Genomic DNA, 15,010 nt, shown 5'->3' on the forward strand with positions numbered 1-15,010 from the left:
AAAGATATGATTGAAAGTATAAGTGCATAAGTTGATACATTTAAAAAAACAAGCCTAGATGAGAGGCACTACTAAACCTAGGGCAAAACAAAAAGGTACTAGTACTGAAACTTCTTCCAAATAAATATTTAAGTTGGTTTTAGAATTTTCACCTTAAAGATAGTTAGATTTTTTTTCTAAAAAATGAAAATTACAGGTACTTAATAAATAAACATATGCTTAAAACTAAAAACTCTCCATAAAGGAGAGGAAAAAAGCCAGAAAGGATTAGTAAGGTAAAGAGGTAAAGAAGGGATGCTTCAAAGCAAAACAATTCAGAAGAAAAAAGACTACAATAGTTGTTTATCACAAACCTGTGAAACTAGACAGCAAATTTGATTGCCATTTATATATGCTGGAAAAATAAACAATTTATTTTCTCTTATAATTTTCTGAGATCAATTACTAGGCTTTCAAAATCCTCAGTCATACCAGGAGGCACATTGTATATAACTCTTCAGTCTTGTTTTTCCAGCACAAATTATCTCTCCAATAAAGTAAGTCGATGTTCTTCCAACTTACCTTGGATCAGTTGACTTTGCATGCCTGGGATGTCCTTTTCACTCTCCGTTAAAATTATTTCTATCTCCAGGAGCTTGCCCAAGTTCCACTATTTTTATACTAATATTTCTCTACTTTGAATTATTTTAACATCTTCAGTTTGAATGACAAGAGAGCACTTACTAATAGACTATCTTCTAAGGATTGCTACTCCTTTATTCACAGCAAAGAGTGCTTTTAACAGAGATGATGGATGTCAAAATTTACCTCTATTGCCTTGGGGAGATTTTCCAAAAAACTTGGCCTCAGTTTATACACCTGATAACTGGGTACTTAGAAAATGGTCCTTATTTTGTAAATCTCCTCTGAGACTTTAAGCATCTCTTCTTTGCTAGTGTTTATCTCCTTTTTATTAAAGTTCAAATCTTTGAGATATTTTATTATATCCTACTTTTAAAGATTTCCTCTCATTTTCAGAACAAAGCAGAGCACATACATGTGAACTATAACTAATTAACTCTGGCATTACACTGGTTAGGATAAAATTGTTTAGTCAGTTTAGCATATTTATTTCACATGAATGCACACAAATGACATTGGGAAATATATATCCACTGAAATGTCAAAATTATTTGTAACTGCCAATTAGAACACTAAATTCTTGCTGAGTGACGTCGCTGGTAGTGGGGACGGGACTCTTTCTTCTGTTTAAAGCTGGGGAGTACAGTTAAGTATACCACCTTCCACCAGGACATGAACCTCTGAATTCCATTTACTGGATGCTCTCTGGGTAGATGCTGAGTGCCCTAATCAGTTTGGGTTGTTGTAACAGATACCATGGACTGGATGACTTAAACATTTATTTCTCATAGTTCCGGAGGCTAGGAAGTCCAGGTTCTAGGTGCTGGCAGATGGTGTCTGGTGAAAGCTCCTTTTTTTGCAGATGGCCTTCTAGTTGTAGTCTCACATGGGAAAGACTGGATATCATCTCTCATATACTTTTTCTTATAAGGACATTAATCTCATTCATGAGAGCTCCACCTTCATGAACTAATCACCTCCCAAAGATATTACCTCCTAATACCATCACATTGTGAGTTAGGATTTCAGCATATTAATTTTGTGGGAACACAAACAGAACATAATACTGAGACAACAACAATTTTATGTTGACTGCTGTATTAGGTGGTTCTTATATTGCTACAAATAAATACCTGAAACTGGATAATTTATAAAGAAAAGAGGTTTAATTGTCATGGTTCTGCACACTGTGCAGGAAGCACTGTGCCAGCATCTGCTCTGCTTCTGGTGAGGCCTCAGGGAGCTTTTAATCACGGTGGAAGGTAAAGTGGGAGCAGGCACTTTACATGGCAGAAGGGAGGCAAGAGAGAAGGGGAAGATGCTATACACTTTCAAACGACTAGATCTCCTGAGAACTCACTCACTATCTCGAGATCTTGAGAACAGCTCCCAGGCATGAGGGATCCACCCACAAGACCCAAACATCTCCCATCAGGCCCCACCTCCAACATTGGGGATTGATTACATTGTAGCATGAGACTGAGGTGGGCTAAATATCCAAACCATATCAAATGCTAATTTGAGTGTTATAAGGCTTGGTGATGAAATTGTGCTGAAACACCCACTAGCGAGCACCTATCTTTACCGATACATTTAATATAACATCATGACTTCTGAACTAGTTGTGTAACTTTGGGCAAGTTGTTTAATCTATCTGTGCATCAATGACTCCTTTTCTCATAGTATTTTTATGAAAATAAAATGAGATAATATATGTCAATTTGCTCAGTGCAGGGCTGAGCACATAAGAACTCAATTTGTACATACACTGCATATACTTACATTTTAACATACATAGTATTTATAAAAAATTGAGTATCTTCAAAAATGTATTACTCATCAACAAAGTCATTTAGGAACACATGAACATGGGACAAAAGTCAATTTTTAAATACGTTACCACAGTTATTTCCAAAATCTCATAAATATGTGCTGCTTATGTCAGAGTACAAGACCATATAAATCCTCTGGCTTATAATCATTGAAGGCAGCGGTGACGCAAAATCACATGGTGTAATGTCTGGGGGGCTGGATAGCCACTATTCCCAAGGCAGGTTCATGTACTTCATGTTTGGACCAGAATGTTGGCTAGTAAAGCTGCCTAGAAAATGTTCCTTAAGGGATCCTGGACTGTGTGATGAGAATGAGGTGGTCTCATTCTACCAGAAAATGAAACAGAGACTTCCTGTATCACTCCACCATTTGGTTGAAATATATTATTATTGTTACCATGTTCTCAAATAAATAAAGATCATTGCAGCAATGAATTGTGTGCAATAAAAGACATTCCATTTTTGCAAATCCTTTATGTGTTCTTTAGTCACAGAAACAAATTTTATAAATGTCCACACAACAACACAGAAAATTGGAAATCGAAGGGCAACGCTACAGCAGTTTGGTGCTGATTACATATCTACATTTGGATTCTTTTTTTTTTTTTTTTTTTTTTTTTAATGAGACAGGGTCTCACTTTGTCACTGAGGCTGGAGTGCAGTGGTACAACCTCAACTACCCAGGCTCAAGCAGTCCTCCTACCTCAGCCTCCCAAGTAGCTGAGACTACAGGAGCAGGCTACTTGGGAGGCTACTACATGTGGCTAATTTTTGTATTTTTCGTAGAGACAGGGTTTCGCCATGTCACCCAGGCTGGTCTCGAACTCGTGATCTCAGGAGATCCACCTGCCTCTGAATCCCAAAGTGCTGGGATTACAGGTGTGAGCTACTATGCCTGGCCTACATGTCTACATATAACATTAGTTCTGAGAAACACGTTCTGAAGGTAATTTAGAGATGTATCATGAATGACCATTTACTTCAAAGTAAACAATTACCTCTCATTGAAGGGGCATATTTTTTGAGATTTTCACCATTGTTTTTGAAAAAACTAATGAGAAGAAGGACATCTATACCATTTGGCAAAGGCACTAGATTATATTCTAAGTTCTGGACCTAAGGTCTTGAGAGTTGGGTAAGAATTAGGGGAAAAGGCCTGTGATAGTTATAATTTTCTCTAAGAATTACAAGAAAATCAGATATAGTGATGCTATGTCATACCCTTAAGGAGGGATTTAAACAAGGGTGGTCATATTTGAGGTAAGGTGGTTTCGATGAATGAAGGAGAAATCAAACTGAACTGTAAAGATGAAAGATTCAAAAGTCATTGGCCACTTGGAAATAGGACCAGGGCTTTGTGAGTGACTACACAAATGAGAGCCTTAACTGGAAAATAGTACTTTTTCCCCCCCCTCATTTCTCATACAATCCACTTAGAATGATAGTGAAGACGTAGGATAGAATAGCTATGGTTTTTAACCACTGGTTTACAAGACTACCTCTTCTTTCACTCTTCAGTATTGTTTGAAGAAGGCAAAAATATATTTAAACCCTATTTCTATTTTCACAACCAAAAAATAAAATCTACAACCCCCCTCTTATCTCCCCAAACAGATCAGCTTGTATTTTTATTAACATCATTTACAGTTCTCAGTTTCCTAGTCACAAGTCACATTTTCATGTTGTTATATTCTAAGATTATTAGATGGAGTGAACTAAAGCGGAGCTTTGATCTTGCCCTAAGGGCTCTGAGAGTAATTCCATTTTATCCTTTTTCTTTGTTTGGAGCTCCTCAGCCCTGCTGCTTCAGCTCCAGCTGTTTCTTGTCATATCTCTGAAGTCAATTTGCTGTCAATGTCTGAGATTTAAGAGTTATTCAAATGCTTATGAAAATTTCAATCTTGCTTGTCTTTCTCACCAATTATGATGTTCATAATTCTATATAAAGACCAATTAAAATTTGTATAAACTCTGTGTTATAATTTCAGTAACTGTTTTTGGGATGCTTTTTCAATTTGTTAAGATTTTTGCATTTTGCTTTCAAGAATTTCCAGGAGTCCTTGCTATGCTACTTCATTTCTCTCTTAGTCCACATATTTGGTTGTCATTAATTGCAGAATGAGTTATCATTTTTTTAAATTTTATGGGTACATAGTAGGTGTATATATTTATGGAGTACATGAGATGTTTTGATATAGGCTTGCAATGTGAAATAAGCACATTCAGGAGAATGGGTTATTCATCCCCTCAAGCATTTATCCTTCAAATTCCAAACAATCCAATTACATCCTTTAAGTTATTTTAAAATTGTAGAAGTTATTGTACAATTAAGTTATTATTGACTATAGTCACCCTATGGTGCTGTTAAATAGTAGGTCTTATTCATTCACTCTATTTTATTTTGTACCTGCTAACCATCCCCACCTCCTCCTGAGCCCCCAAATACCCTTCTAGTATGTATTACACTCTTATGGCTCGATAGTTATGGACTCTTCTCCACGTTCTATTCCACATTTTAAGACTATCAGACCAATTTAGACTAAGAGATTTCCTTCACTAGTCATCCGAATGCTTCAACACTTCTTTATTTCTCATCTATCCTTTTTTACAGGTATATTCATAATTCTCTTTTTAGTCATGGCTTAAATGTGCTGAAACAGTGGCTTAACACATCACATTTAAGCTCTATCATCTCCACATCACATTACCAGACATTGATAAAGCCTTAAAACTGCAAGTGTCTCCAATATTTTTTCCCAAAGGCTACTTTACGACCATAAAAGCTACCCAAAAATTGAAAGAAAAGGTAATGAAACAATATTCTCTTTCAAGACTCCTCCCTCTCACTTTCTCCCTTCCAATTACCAAGAGTGTTTGTGTTTAATATGAATCTTAAGGTTGTCATATTATATTGATGATAATCTAGCCTATGAGGACCTCAGAGGTTTGAGCAAGAGAGGGAAGTCCAGTTTAATATCAGTTACCTGAGGAAAATAAGAACACCAATGAAGAACTGTAACCATGGAAACCTATGACTTTGAAGCCAAAGACTTGTGCATGGTAGAGAATAAATGGATGCTCTGCCTAGTGGAAGTAAGGGTGTGGTAGGAGGATGCCATGTATTTAACAATAGATTGGAAATGAGAAAAATACATATGGCAAAACATATATTCTAGATTTATGTTACCCTGTGTGTGCCTTTTGCTTTGGTTATCCTTTAGCTTTCAGCAAATTCTTTAAATGAGCGCCTTTTCTAAACAACATTTTTGAATTGAAAGCATCATATATGTCTAAGCTTAGACTCATATCTTTAAACAAAAGAACAAGAGTTGAAGATCTATGAAATAGACAGTAGGAATCAGTAACATTCATCCGGAGGTGGTGGATCTTCAGAGAGAAATTGGTGTTGTATAATGTAGCCTTCTCCACATGGCAATTATGCTGCTTATTAGAAGTTCTGAGGCTCATTGTTACTAAAAACAAACAGACAAAACTTTAATTTGTAGGAAGACCTAAAGAAAAGGATAAAGGATCAAATTACAGACAGTGAGTTGTAGCAGAATAAAACTGTAGCAGCCAGGTGAATTTGCAGTATATTAGAGGACCAAGAACCTATTACCTTCAACACGCACAAAGAAAATGCTGCATCAATGTTTGTTGACCTGCTTCTGAAAGACCTCTATTGTTCCTTTCGCCTCTCCTTGTTCTTCCATTTGTCTCATGGAATCTCTTTTCACACAGAACCCTCTCTGGATACCAGCGTCGCCTGGATGGAACAAGTGATATTTACAGTCAATTCTCCAGTACTAAAGGTCATATATCCCATTTCTGCTTTTACCTCTAATGGCCCATGTAGTTATAGGTGGCTCTAAAAATGTACTGTCGTGTAGCCTTGCTGGCAAGTGTCTTTCCAATGAGGAATATGATGTCTAAGTTAAAGACATTTCTAAAACACTGCCCTTGTCAGGATATTTACAGAAATCTTAAAAAAAGGTCATTATATAAAACAACAAAACAATTTTTTAGGTGAACTACACAAAAACACACATTATTTTCATATTTTTCACATAGTGTCATCTCTTCTTGATAGCCCTGGAACTCCACTGAGCAATTATTTTAACATTAGACTAGATATGAATGGTTTGTGATTTTTGGCTTAATTTAAACTGATCTGAAAACATACCCTAGAACACTCTTAATCCAGTAGCTAAAATCTTCATAGCATCATGATTAAAATGTAGGTCCTGATATTAGTTCCTCCTCACCTCTAGTCCACTGCTTTATCAGTTTTCTTGGGTAAGTTACTTAAACATCTGTGTTTTGCTTTCTTCAAATGGGTTACAAAAATGCTGCATACATGGTAAGTGCTCAATAAATATTTGTTGATTTCATATAATAGCAGTTAAATTTCATGTCATTTTCCCTCACATATGTAACTTCATCATGGCTATGTAATAAAACTATGTGCATAAATAATTGTCAAATAAAGCACCAGAATGATCTATTCTTAAGCCTTCTTTCATCAAAAGATGTAAATTAAATTTTGACCTATTGATGTGTTATTCCATGAGAAGGGGCTATGTAGGGTTGTTTGAAAAAAAATGCAGGTCACATGGACTATACAAAGGTTAGCTGTGGGTGTCCTCCAGATACCTCGGTCATGTGATACCTACTTTTGGAATGGTTGAAAGTGAGGCCTTGCCGGATGCCCTTTATCCAGAGATGTATACCTAAACTCCTTAAGGCAAGGTTTTTTTGTTGTTGTTGTCTCTTTTTTTCACTGTCCCCCAACAATGCCTATAAAATTACCTGGTTTATAATGGTACATAAATATGTGTTGCATAAAGGATATGCAATATCATTAAGACTGTGTACTGAAAAGATTGTCATTGATTTTAAATAAGAGCCACAAATGAAAGTCTTACAGTCAGATGCTCTGTTTTTGAAAATTGCTTCTTAAAGGAGCAACTCCCAATGTAGTACATTCCAGGTGGAAGTGCAGTGGGTCTCCACTGATTAGACAACTGTTAAGTAATGTTTTTCCTAAAAGACACTATTTGCAGATGATATAACTGTATTATGAACTATGTAAGAACCTTTAGCAGTACCTGGAATTTTTAGCAAGGTCATCCATCAGGAAAGTCAGGAAAACACCCTTAAATTCTAAGAAATAGAATAATAAAAGCAAGGCAATATGATTATTTAAGACTAAAAAAATCAAAATAAAGGGGGGAAAGGTTTTATATCAAAATAAGAAAAAGCTATCTAAGTGGGAACAGGCATCACAGTAACAGAATTTTCCGGTTGCATGGCTGCCATTCTTCAGTCTCTCTCCTCTAGAAAACTGGCTCAATGTTGTAGAAATATAAAACTTTAGAAAATAAGAACCTTAAACGTTTTCCACTGTGCTCTTTCAGGCAAATAGAGGTACAAACAATCTTGGACCATGAAGTTTCATTAATATTTGTCTTATAGATTTGTAAGTGCTAATATTTTCTCAAAGTGTTACCTTTTATTTTCCTTTTTTGTGCACAACCCAATTCAATCAATCAATGAATTTACCTTAATAGAAATAAAAGAGAAAGAAAGGGTTAAAACACTTTGCAGAATACCCCAAAAACATATAACAAAATGTATCATGATGACAAATAACAGGATAAATGTCTGCAACAATCATATGTTTCCTATTTATAGAATTGACAAAAACAATATTTACTGTTAATGAGGGATAGTGACACAGAGGTATTTATAAAACCTCTGTAGGAATGCAAAGTGGTACATACTTTCTGAAATCAATTTGATAACCTGTGAAAAATCTAAAATACTACACTTCCTTTTATCCAGAAAATTCATTTATATTTATCCATTTACTAAGGAAATAATCTGGAATTATGTCAAAGTTTCTTGCACAAAGATAACCATAATAACTTTATATTGCAAATATTTGAATGTAATCTATAAAATGAAAATTAGATGTTATATTTATTTTTTAATATTTATTGCCATATCATGTTTAGAATGATTCTAATTCAATCATTGAATGCAAATGAATAATTAAGTTAAACATAGCTCATATATATAAGAAATACTGTATATCTTGAAATTATATAAAAATTTGTATGTACTTATCTTGGAAAATGCTTTTATTGTTAAATGGAGACACCAGGAATTATAGTTCAGTAAATTATTATTTAATACAAATGTACAGAAGAAAATAATAGATGATAAATAAATTATGAAATGTTGAAAGCTGTTGCCTTTGGGTAAAATAATAGGAATGATCATTGAGAGCACACTCCATAGAACAAGAGCATAATATACACTATGTATATTTTCAACAGAATTTGTACCATGATAGACCATATTTTGAGCTACAGAATAAAGCTAAGTACATTTCCAAATGATTTAAGCAGTAAAAATATAACATACAAAAATTGTTAAATAATAAAACAGAATAATATTAGGAATGTATGTTAGAAATACATCTAAACATTTATAAATATTAGAAACAAATAATATATTTATAAATAATCAACAGACTAAAGAGAAAATAAAAATTAAAATTAGAAAGTATTTGGGACTGGATATAAAAACTTAACATTCAAAATTTCTCCTATACAGGTAAAGCAGTAGCTAAAAGGAAATTTACAGCATGTAAAACTTCTGTCAAAAACCAAGAAAAATTTCTAGTCAATTACCTGATGTTCCACCTAAAGAAACTAAAGAAGCCAAATTAAATATAAAATAAAAGAAAAAGGATATAATATAATAAAGATAATAATGCAAAGTAATGACCTATAAACCCAAAAAACAGGAATATCTGTGAAGCCAAATGGTTTTTTTTTTTAGAAGATCAGTAAACTTGATAAGCCTCTAATCAGACTAATCAGGAGGAAAACTAGAGAGAAACACAAGTTATTAATATTAAAAATGAGAGACGTAACATAATGACAGATCTACAGATATTCAAAGAAAGACCTAAATATATGGAGAGAGATAGCATGTTTATGGATCAGAAAATTTAATTTTTTAAGCTGTGAAGTCTCCCCAAATGACTTCTAGATTCAGTGCAATCCTAATCAAATCAAATCAATTTTAATAAGAGTCAATACACTGATTCTAAAATTGGTATGGAAATACAAAGGATGTAGGATAGATAAAACAATTAAAGAAAAGTTTGAAAGATTTACCCTACGGATTTAAATCCTTATTATAATCAACATAGACAAATAGATCAATTGAGGTGGAGAAAGAATCCTGAATCAAAAAACATTAATTGATTTTTATAAAATTGCAAATTCAATTGGTGAAGAAAGTACAATCTGACTAGAAAAAAGTGAACACTTACACATATTTTGTAGTATACATAAAAATTAACTAAAATAAATAACAGATCTACATGTAAAATCTAAAATTATAAAACACATTGAATAATACATAGGAAAAAATATTTGTGACCTTGGGTTAAGCAAAGAATTCTTAAGACACCAAAAGCATGATCCATTAAAGAAAAAAGTGATACATTAGACTTCATCAAAATTAAGAATTTCTGCTCTTAGAAAATGAAAAGACAAGCCGCAGGCCAGAAGACTACAATTGTAACTTATATATCTAATAGAGAATTTGTATGAATAATATATATATTTTTAAATCTCAAATCTCAAGAAGAGAAGCAATTTAATTTAAGAAATACGCAAAAGATTTGAATGGACACTTCATGAAGGTAATTGTAAAGCCAATGAAAAGATGTGTAACATCATTAATCAGCTGAAAAATGCAAACTAAAACCACAATGAGTTACCACTACATATCAATCAATTTAAATGTCTAAAAAAGATTGACCATAGCAAATTGTACTAGTGATGTGGAATAAATGGAACTCTTCCATTTCTTAAGGGAATATAAAATGGTACAACCATTTTGGTACAAATCTGACAGAGTTTTTACATAGTTAAACATATCCTCATTTTATTACTTGGTATTTACTCAAGAGAAATTGAAGTACATGTCCATGCAAGACTTATAACTTGAATGTTTATAGCAACTTTAATTGTAACAGGCAAATATTCAAAACCACAAAAGTGTTCATCAACAAATGAATGAATAGCAAATTGTAAAATATTCACACATTAATACAATACTCAGCAATAAAAGAAAATGACCATTTATATGTGCAACGTATACACATAGATGAATCTTGGAATAATTATATTGACTAAACAAAGCCAGGCAAAAGATAACGCATAGTATATTATTTCATTTGTATAAAATTCTAGCAAATGCAAATTAATTTAAACTGATTCAACACAGATTACTTATTGCCTGGGGATAGAGAGTACATGGAGGGAAGGGATAGAGGGATTACAAATGGGCAAAAAGGATCTATCCTGTGTGATGGACATATTTATTATCTTGATTTGTTATGTTTTTATAGGTGTTTACATATGTCAACCTTAGGAAATCGACACTTTATATATAAGCAGTGTGTTGTAATTGCATTATACCTCAATACATCTATTTTTTTAAAGAAGCCATATTATGCTTAGAAAAGAATAGAGTGGGCTTGTTCCATCCAGACTTTTTATAATGTTACTCTAAATAAGATAGTGTGATATTCCTGTAAAGATAGACAAATAGAGCAGTGGAATAAAATAGAGAGCCCAGAAAAAGACCTGAGCATATGTGGCATGTTTATTTATAAAAAGAGTGCTACTCCAAAGCTGGGTAAGGGAAGTATGTTTCAATAAATCATGCTGGGACATTTTATATCCATAAAAGTAAAAATAAAATTTGGCTTCTGCCTCATGTCACTCAAAAAATATTTTATGCAGATAATAAATCAAAATATAAAAGACAAAACAATAAAATATCTGGAGGGCAATACAGGAGAATATGTTTATGACCTAAATAGGTAAAATATTTATCAAACAAAACAAAAACACTAATAAATAAGTTCAGATGAATGAATTAGACTATATATAATAAGACTGTTCATCAAAAGACTCAAAAGTTCATCAAAAGGATAATGAAAAGTTGATCAAACTCACCAGTAATCAGGAAAATAAAACCACAGTGGGATACTACCACATACCTGCTAGAATGACTGAAATTTAACAGTCTAACAGGCAATGGGAACTCTCATATACTGCTGGGGAGGGCTGCACATTGGTAGTATTACCTTGGAAAAGTATTTTACATTATCCACTAGAGTTGAGTTGATTAGGTACATACTCTATAAATTAGCAATTTCATTTCAAAGTATATATACTCAAGTTGTGGTGTGCCCAAATCAGCTAGTACTGCCTTCTGAGAGCCAGCTGTTAAATTTTCAGAAAGTTTTTGATCCTACTCTTGGACTAATGGTAGCTTGAAATTGGTCACAATGATAGTATTTACCTTAGAATTTTGTAGAATACTGTAAATGAAGGCTCTTCCCCAGCCCCTGGAGAACCAGTATTTAATATGTGTGCCAAAATACATTAAAGTGATGCTTATAGTAATATCATTTGCAATAGCCTCAACCTGGAAACAACTCGTATGTCCATCTAAGGCAAAAATGATAAATAAATTGTAGTATATGCACACATTGGAATATTCTATGCAATAAAAATGATGCACTACAACTACATATAGCCATAATAACGATTATAATAAAAACAAGCTAGTAATATCAGGTCTTAATATGTGCCAGGATACCTCTCTCATGCTCTCTCTCTCTCCCTTCTCCTCATTGCTCTTTATACATCTATATCTAAATTTGTATGTGTTTATCTTTAGAAAAAATAATGTCAGACTACATACTAAAATGTTATCTTTGTGTGATGGCATTATGGGTTATTATTCCCTTTTTCTTTATATCTTATTTCTTTCATACTGATAAAATATTGCTTTATAATCAGGAAAAACAATATGATTTCCTTTGTTTTAAAAATAAAATATGTAGTTGTAGTGCATCATTTTATTGCCATGAAATATTCCAGTGTATGCATATACCACAATTTATGTATCAGTTCTGCTTTAGATGGACATATGAGTAGTTTCCAGGTTGAGGCTATTGCAAATAATATTACTACAGGCATTGCTTTAATGTATTTTGGTATGCATATTAAGTACTGGGTATCCAGGGGCCAGGGAAGAGCTTTCATTTATGTATGGTCCTAATAGTGGGGGTATAATTTTTTTAATTGCTCAGATGATATTGATGAAGCTGCTGGAGTCAGATGGGCTGGATCTGAAATCTGATGTATGTCTTACAAGATGTGTGATCCTGTACAAGTTATTTAACTACTGAGGTTTGTTTCCTCCAACTGTAAAATTGGAATAATGATACCGTCTATGTCACAGGGTTAGTATGAGGATATACATGCCTCGCATAGTGATCAGCAGAGAATATGAATACACTGTGTTTTATCTAGTATGTTGATGTATGTTTCCTTCCTGCTCTTTTAAGGCAGTTTTTAGTCTACTAGAAGATCCTCTAAAATCTTTTTGGGTGCTTTAATAAAGATGGAACACCTGTGTAATTAATAAGATACTGTGGACATTTAGCTAATAAGCACAAGTAATGAAACTCTTTATTACTATTTGAGGGCCACCAAAAGTGGAGGGTTTAATTATAATTTTCTGTATTTGAGTTTATTTAAAGAATTTTTCACTATTTTATGTGTGTGTTTAATTTATTTACCTGCTTTAAGTCTTTGAAATGAGGGAATATTGTGTTCACTGACACTTACATAGAACTCTTAGAGAAATAATTAAGGCTGGTTTTCTATTACATTGGCAATCTTGGGTAATTATCTCCTTTTTCTCTATTTTCTATAGCTTTCTGTTTTGAACAGACACAGCCTGTTGAGTGAGTTTACTATGAAGGGAAAGTTACTCATCATCATGTGTGCAATTTAGGTTCTGTGAGCGTAATCTCTGACTCATTAAATGCCACATCCACATTTTAACTGAGAGAGTGCCTTTAACTTTATTTAGTCAAGAAGTTGCTAATTAAACCTCCTTGATCTTTGTCACACAGATATCTCACCGGGGTGCATAAATATTATTTTGAAGCCTTCACGTTCCTTCCTATATTAGGTATAATACTCCACTCATAACATTAAGAAAGAAAAAGAAGTATTCTAATATTGCATGTTTTTACCTATGTCTGCCTATCATAAAAATGAGAATTTTGAAATCCTGTCATAGAAGCAGATTTTGAAAGATTTCTCTTAATGTGCAGGAAATATGGTTTGGGTTTTCTTTTATTTTGATTTGTTTTCTGATAGTTTTTTATTTTTATTATTATTATTTTTTGTCCATAGAATCATTTAGGACTTCAGTGACTACATTTTAAAGAGCATGAAATTTCAGATAATATGATACTAATAATTTTTTAAAAGTAACAAGTGTTAGGATATGGAGAAATTGAAGCCCTCATATACTTCTGATGGAATGTAAAATTGTTCAGCTGTTTTGGAAAGCAGTTTAGTGACACCTCCAAAGTTAAACAAAATTACCATATGACCCTGCAATTCCATTCCTGGGCATACACCCCAAAGATTTGAAAACAGATACTCAAAAAAGCACGTGTGCATATATTCATAGTAACACTGTTCACAGCCAAGATATAGAATCAACCTAAGTCTCTCAACAGATTAGTAGATGAAAAAAATGTGGTATATATATACAATGGTATACTATTCAGCCACTAAAAAGAATAAAATCCTGAGACAACATTGGTAACCTTGGAAGACATGTTAAGTGAAATAAGCCAGGCACATAGAGTGAAAACCAATTTTACATTTAACAGTCTAGATTTTTTCAACATTCCACTTTAATATACTATTTCATGATTATTTAAGGATTATTGTTTCTATTTCATTAACCATTTTTCTTACATTATTATTTGAAGGGTCACCAGAGTATAATTGATTATTTCTCTTTCTTTTATTGTTTACATTGTTGAAATGCAGATACTTAGTGGAGTTTAATGGTTATAAGGCCACCTTCAGTTTCTGAACTCTCTGTTCAAATCCCAGCTCTGTATCTTATAAACAGTGTGACTTTGATAAAGTTACTTCACCTCTTTGTGCCTCAGTTACTCATAAGTAAAATAAGAGCTGCATTATAAGAGCTATAGAGGGCCGTTGTGATGATGTTATACATATTTTATATATTTATATATATATATATATACACACACACACACACACATATATATGCAGTTAGTACAAAGAACATATACATGAAGGTAAAAAGAATAGAATAAACAGGTTTTCAACAACAAGAAGAAACATAGAGTATTATTAATTTTGGCATTCCGTAGATTAACATTGTCTCTCTCCAACTCAATTATAACTCAAATTGTTTTTTTCTTAATTTTCATTTTAGTTTTGCTACGTATTGTATACCCTTATTGTTTAGTTTGTGTATTTTTGAAAGTTGTATAAATAGAAAAATGCGCCAAACAATTCTGTCTTGTTTCTGGCATCCAGTGACATGTTTTTGATAGTCATTAATAGTGATGTTTGTAGCACTCTATTCCCATGTTTATAATCATTTTACATTTT

General features: G+C 32.9%; 1 long non-coding RNA gene across 2 annotated transcripts; it reads right to left on the minus strand.

The window, feature by feature from the left end:
* Positions 1-4,824: 4,824 nt before the first annotated feature.
* LOC105374473 (uncharacterized) lies at positions 4,825-8,451 on the minus strand. 2 transcript variants are annotated; one of them, XR_001739420.1, is made up of 4 exons: positions 7,963-8,451; positions 7,562-7,616; positions 6,073-6,219; positions 4,825-5,926 (listed from the first exon to the last, which is right to left on the minus strand). It is a non-coding gene; the product is annotated as an uncharacterized LOC105374473 (long non-coding RNA). The 2 variants fall into 2 exon arrangements; XR_939985.2 differs by having other exon boundaries at positions 7,562-8,451.
* Between the last annotated feature and the right edge of the window lie 6,559 nt (positions 8,452-15,010).

This window comes from Homo sapiens, chromosome 2 (genome assembly GCF_000001405.40).
Source record: "Homo sapiens chromosome 2, GRCh38.p14 Primary Assembly".
NCBI classification, from domain to species: domain Eukaryota; kingdom Metazoa; phylum Chordata; class Mammalia; order Primates; family Hominidae; genus Homo; species Homo sapiens.